The sequence below is a fragment of the Homo sapiens genome, chromosome 16, assembly GCF_000001405.40.
Source record: "Homo sapiens chromosome 16, GRCh38.p14 Primary Assembly".
Classification (NCBI taxonomy): domain Eukaryota; kingdom Metazoa; phylum Chordata; class Mammalia; order Primates; family Hominidae; genus Homo; species Homo sapiens.
The window spans coordinates 2,675,636-2,681,781 of NC_000016.10; positions in this window are offsets into that span (position 1 = coordinate 2,675,636).

A 6,146-nucleotide genomic window follows, 5' to 3' on the forward strand; every position below is an offset into this window, starting at 1 on the left:
TGGTGGCAGGCACCTGTAATCCCAGTTACTCAGGAGACTGAGGCACAAGAATCGCTTGAACCCAGCAGGCGGAGGTTGCGGTGAGCTGAGATCACACCATTGCACTCCAGCCTGGGCAATAAGAGCAAGACTCCGTCCCCCACCCCCCGAAAAAAAATGCAGCTAGAACTGAGTCATCTAAAGGCTAGAGCACGGCCGAAGGATGCACGTAAAGCTTCATTCCCACGTTCCCACAGCTATGGGCTGGAGGCCTCTGTCCCTCACCAGTGAGGCCTCTTCCCAGGCGTGTGTATTTTGAAGCCCCGACAGCTGGCTTTCCCCAGAGCGAGTGGCCCAAGAGAAAGAGAACACACACAAGATAGAAGCCGCCGCGTCTTTAATGACCTAACCTCGGAAGTGACACATCATCACTTCCAACACATCTGCTAGTCACACACAACAACCCTGGTAGAAAGTGAACGGGCGTGTTTTGGGAGGCTGAGGCAGGAGCACTGCTTGAGGCTAGGTGTTTGAGAGCAGCCTGGGCAACAAAGTGAGACCCTGTCTCTAACCAAAAAAAAAATTTTAAATGTTATAAAAAGTGAAACGGGACTACACAAGGGTATGAAATCCAGAAGGGGCCATTCCTGGGGGCCCCCCTTCAAGCTAGTTGAGGACAGAGCCAGGATTCCAATCTCAGGGAGAGACAGAGAGAAGCTAGAAGGGCAGGCCCAGCCTGGACCCTGCAGGTGTGCACACCAGAAGGCCCTGAGTTACAAAGCCAGGGAAGGAAGGGCTCTCCCAGCAAGGATCCCAACCTGGTTGGCATTTCTAGACTGACCCTGCAGCTACTCAGTAGCGTCTGGAAAGGAGACTAAAGGGGAAAATAGGGGGCAGGGAGATCAGGTGAGAGAAAAGGGGGCTCTCAAAAGACAAGAGCACTGGCCAGGCCAGGTGGCTCACACCTGTAATCCCAGCACTTTGGGAGAGTGAGGCGGGTGGATCGCTTGAGGTCAGGAGTTGGAGACCAGCCTGGCCAACATGGTGAAACCCCGTCTCTACTAAAAATACAAAAATTAGTTGGGAGTGGTGGTGCATGCCTGTAATCCCAGCTACTAGGGAGGCTAAAGTGTGAGAATCACTTGAACCCAGGGAGGCGGAGGTTGTAGTGTGCTGAGATTGAGCCACTGCACTCCAGCCTGCGTGACAGAGGGAGACTCTGTCTCAAAACAAAACAAAACAAAACAAAAACAACAGCATGGTCTCCCGCCTTCTTCTGGCCCACAAGGCCCTGGTCACATGTCTGAGGCTCCCAATATACATTTGCTGGGCTGCAGATAGAGATACATGGATGGATAGAAGATGACAAAGTCATTCAGTGGTTTCCAAGCCACCAGGTAAATATCCTCCCATATAAGCCACGCCAAGGGAGAATCAAACTTGACTGGGAGTCAGGAAACAGAAAGTTGCATGAGATCTTAGGCAAGTAATTTCCCCTCCTTAAACCTCAATTATCCCCGCTGTAAAATGGGCTGGCTCCAGAACTGCTGAAAGTCCCAAAGGTGGAAAATATCCAGTGTTGGTAGGAATGCAGAGAAAGGGGCACCTTCATGTACCGGTGATAGAAACATTGTATTTCCTTTAAACCTGAGCACTGGGAATTCCTGTCCTAGGCCCTTCTCTCTAAAAGTCAGAATAATGGCCTCTCCACAGATGTTCTCATCCTAATCTCCCAACCTGTGCATATGTTATTATATAGAGAGATGAATTAATCAGCTGACCTTACAACTGCATAATTATGGCCAGGCATGGTGGCTCACACCTGTAATCCCAGCACTTTGGGAGGCTGAGGCAGGAGGATCGCTTGAATCCAGGAGTTCAAGGCCAGCCTGGACAACATTAGCAAGACCCTGTCTCTAAAAAAAAGAAAAAAAATTAGCCGGGCATGGTGGTATGTGCCTGTGGTGCCAGCTACTTGGGAAGCTGAGGTGTGAAAATGGCTTCAGCGCAGGTGATTGAGGCTGCAGTGAGCTGTGACGGTGCCACTGCTCTCCAGCTCCCGTGGGGGAGAGGCAGACATTGCTGCCCACAGACCTGCCTCTGACTCAACTGTGTCCACCCTCCCTGGTCCCTACCCCCAAGTCACAGGTGACTCAGCAGTGACCCTGTGTGCCAGGCCAGATCCAAACTGAGAGGGAAGGTGTCGTTTTTACACTGCTAATGACGAGAGTGGCTCTTTTTAGCTAAGCGAGTACAGACGGGGCCTGGGAGGGGGCAGAGATGTTCCCCAGGCCCTGCCTGTGGTTCCTGCCTGGGCCTTGGCTGCTGCTGTGTGAGAGCTGCATGTGAGCCTGTGACCGTGAGCTGGGGTGAGCTGGGCCGCACCTACCCTGGGGCCCCAGGGAGCAGGACGCTCCGGGGCCCAGCACGTTGCCCTGGGCCTGTGGCCGGAGTCGGAGTCCTCTCTCCTCCTCCTGGCTTTTGGAAAGGCTTGGCTGTGTTGGGGAGTCTCTCTTAGCCCTTTCAGGAATTTCTGTTCAGGCTTCCTCCTCCTCATCAGCTATTTTACCCATCTCAGAACGTATCTCTCAGGGCGTCTGGTTATAGGGAAACAAGTGGAGCAGGGACGTGGCTTTAATTGGAGCACTCGGCTGGGCTGCCTGGGGAGACTCTTCCGTGCGTTCTTCCTCTGGATAGAACCACCACCTCCTGGGCGTCACTGACAAGCTCCATCTTAACCTCCAAAGCCACAGAACTAGGGGCTCAGAGCCAGAGCTGGCAGCCGCCAGCCGAAATGATGCCATTGCCTGAGCTGACAGCCAAGCCCTTCTGTGGGTCACCTTTCTCCTCACCTTGCTCTTCCCTTTTGAAAGGCCCGTGTGTTTTCTTTCCTTACCCTGTGCTTGCTCATGTCTACTCCGGTTTTCTCTACCACATCCTTAGAGCCATCACCTGGCACGCAGGCGCCTTACATTCTACGGTAGAACGTGGGGTACTGTGTGTGCACATAGACACACTTACGTGGAATTACAGTTGTGGGTTTATCCAAGATGAGGAAGATTTCACTTGCTGTTTAATAGACTTGGGGCCATGTGCCTCCCCACACATGGGCAAGGACAGGTGGAATGTCGGGACCACACTGTGCGGCTTCTCGGCACAAAGTGGAGGGAGGCTGTGGTCGCTGCCGGCCTAGGTGTCCCAGGTGCCCCGCCTTTCTCTGGGACACAGTTGGGGGCTGGCTTCTGAGGGATTCCTTTCTCCCCTCTTTGTGTGGCCCCAGCCAGGGCGGTGGGCAGTCCTGGTGTAGAGCACAAGCCTCTCCACCCTAGAGAAATGCCTCTGTACCACGGCTACCATGTGGAACCTTAACTTGCAGAAGGCTTGTTAACAATTGTTTTGAGAGAGATGGCTGGTCATGCCACAGCTGCTGGGGACTCCGCCTACTCCAGCCCTCTTGGGACACACTGTGGGATTTGTGGCCCTTCCCCAGAGGAATTGTGGAGACTGTCCCATGGAACAAACCCTCAGGCACCAGCACAGGGCTCTGGGTGACTCAGTAAAACTAACGTTTGTCTCTGACAAGATCAGCTGTAGGCTCACCGGCCAGAGAAGACCACTGTGAGCATTTTGCCGTATATCCTGCCCTGCCATTTGTTCACTTTTTAAACTAAAATAGGAACATCCGACACACACCGTTTGCATCGTCTTCTCCCTTGATATTTTAAGCATTTTCCCATGTCATGAGTTTCTCAGAAACATGTTTTTAACAATTGTACTATTTAGTCATTGTCCATTTACTATAATTTATCTGACCATTTCCCTACTGTAAAATACTTGACGGTTTCTGATTTTTCCACTATTTAAATAATGCTGTGATGAATATCTTTAAAATCTTCTGATTTCTTACTTTTTTTCCCCTTAGATGCCTGGAAGTGGTATTTTGAGGTGAAAGAGTTTGTTCATTTTGAAGATATTTCTGTCTCTCTCTCGACCTGATGTGTAGACGCTCAGTTCCAGTAGCAGAACCACCTTAGTTGTGTCTTACAGATTCTGAACAAATCGGTTTCTGATAAGCCGTGTGTTCCAAAGAATGTCTGAATAAGACCGCTCTTTATTTAAATGCTAAGAGGATGTCACTACTGCAATCCATTTGTGGCCGATTTTTTCCAAGAGCCAATTTCCTTGTTTTGGTTGCAAGAACCTGGCTCTGCCTGCATGTCAGCTCTCTGCCCTCCCTGCTGCCGTGGCTTTCAAGCGCTTGGCGATATTTTCAGAATCTTGTACTTCATGTCCACAATGGTATTGAATTTGCAACTGCGCAGTCAGCAGAGATAACAAGTGTTGAACTGACCTTGCCACATGCTTAGTGAGTGATCTGTAATTAAGTTTATAGACTCAGAAAGTACATTAGGCCATTTGGAGTCAGTAGCAGAGCAAAGCCTCTACTTGAAAAAAACCACGTAGCTGATTGGGTTTTACAAGAGTGCATTTGTCTCCCCCTTCCACCCCCCCACCTTCAGGTCTTAGTGGTTCACAAGAGCCCAGCAGCCAGGCTGGCTTTTTCATTGTAGGGCGTGGTTGTCCCAGCTGGTGTAGATTTCAGGCCGCCTCCCCCCATCTCCCTGCCCACAGTGTTGCAGATTGCCTGGCTGGCAGCAAGTCCAGACCACCCAAATTTGGTTGGATTCTTCATTTCTCCACTGTAGTTGGGGTCCATTGATTGTGCAGGGGAACGTGCAGGAGGTTTTTCTAGGCACTGCGTTCAGTGCTGCTTCACTCTACCAGAGATTATGGCCAAATTGCACGGAATTTGGTTTCTTGCCCTCTGAAGCCTGAGGGCCCCCCCTTGCCTGGCTGGTTGACAGACCCGGGGTGCTCACTGCTGAGACTTCAGAGATCGCAGCTGCTGTGAGAATACGGTGAAGGTACTATGTTCTGGAAGATGTTGTCATACACTTTTCCCCAGTTATTTTCAAACTTGACATGAGCCTATGTTGACTCACTGGGTGGGGTCCCTTCTTACGCAGCACACGTGGCAAGTGCCTGAATCGGGGCTGGAGGCACTTCAGAGCCTCTGAGGGGCCACCACTTCTGGCCCAAAATTGCAGGGTTGTAGATGAGGCTGCCTGTGGAGAACTGGTGTGAGGAGGAAGCTGTTTCCAACAAAGAGCACTTTCATCTGTTGAGATGGCTGTGGTGAGCAACTGAACGAGCCTACGTGTGTACCTGAATTTTCCCCATAACTCATTTCTTCCATATGAAGAAACACCAAACTATGTACAGAGAACTTTTTACAAAAGGCAGACCTTTTTTAAGCTGTGTAACCCACATAGCCTAACCGTCTGGCAGAATGACTACGAATAGGGGTCATTGTGCTGGTAAAAGCCTCTATTACGACTGTTAAGTTGGATGTTGGCAAAATTAAATTGTTACAGTATTTAGAGCTGCTGTAGCTGTTCCTTCACAACATGAAATAGGATAAATGACTAGTACGTCTTTCAGGTGGGTGGCAGTCAGAACATGCGTAATATTCTCTACCTGGTCTGTAGCTGTAACTGTGATGTACAGACAAAGCAAAAATTAAAAGAACTCATGAAAACAAATAATACAATGGTATTAGGATATACACTTTTGTGTTTTTAATCTTATAGAAGGTTATTTGCTGGCTATTGTTGGCCTCTAGTTCAGCCTGTTATTTAAATTCTTTTTTTTTCTTGAGACGGAGTCTCACTCTGTCGCCCAGGCTAGAGTGCAGTGGCCTGATCTCGGCTAACTGCAACCTCCGCCTCCTGGGTTTAAGCAATTCTCTGCCTCAGCCTCCGAGTAGCTGGGATTACGAGCGCCCACAACCACATCTGGCTAATTTTTTGTATTTTTGGTAGAGACGGAGATTCACCATCTTGGCCAGGCTGATGTTGAACTCCTGACCTCGTGATCCACCCACCTTGGCCTCCCAAAGTGTTGGGATTACAGACATGAGCCACCGCGCCCGGCCTAAATTCTAATATATGAATTATTTGTATTGAATTCATGTTCGGGGCCACGTTGTTATATGTATTGATATACAGCCTTGAATGTGAATAATTACTATATATTTTACAACTTTTTTCTGGCTTTATTACAAAAACTTTCTTTTTTTTTTTTTGAGACAGACTCTCGCCCTATCA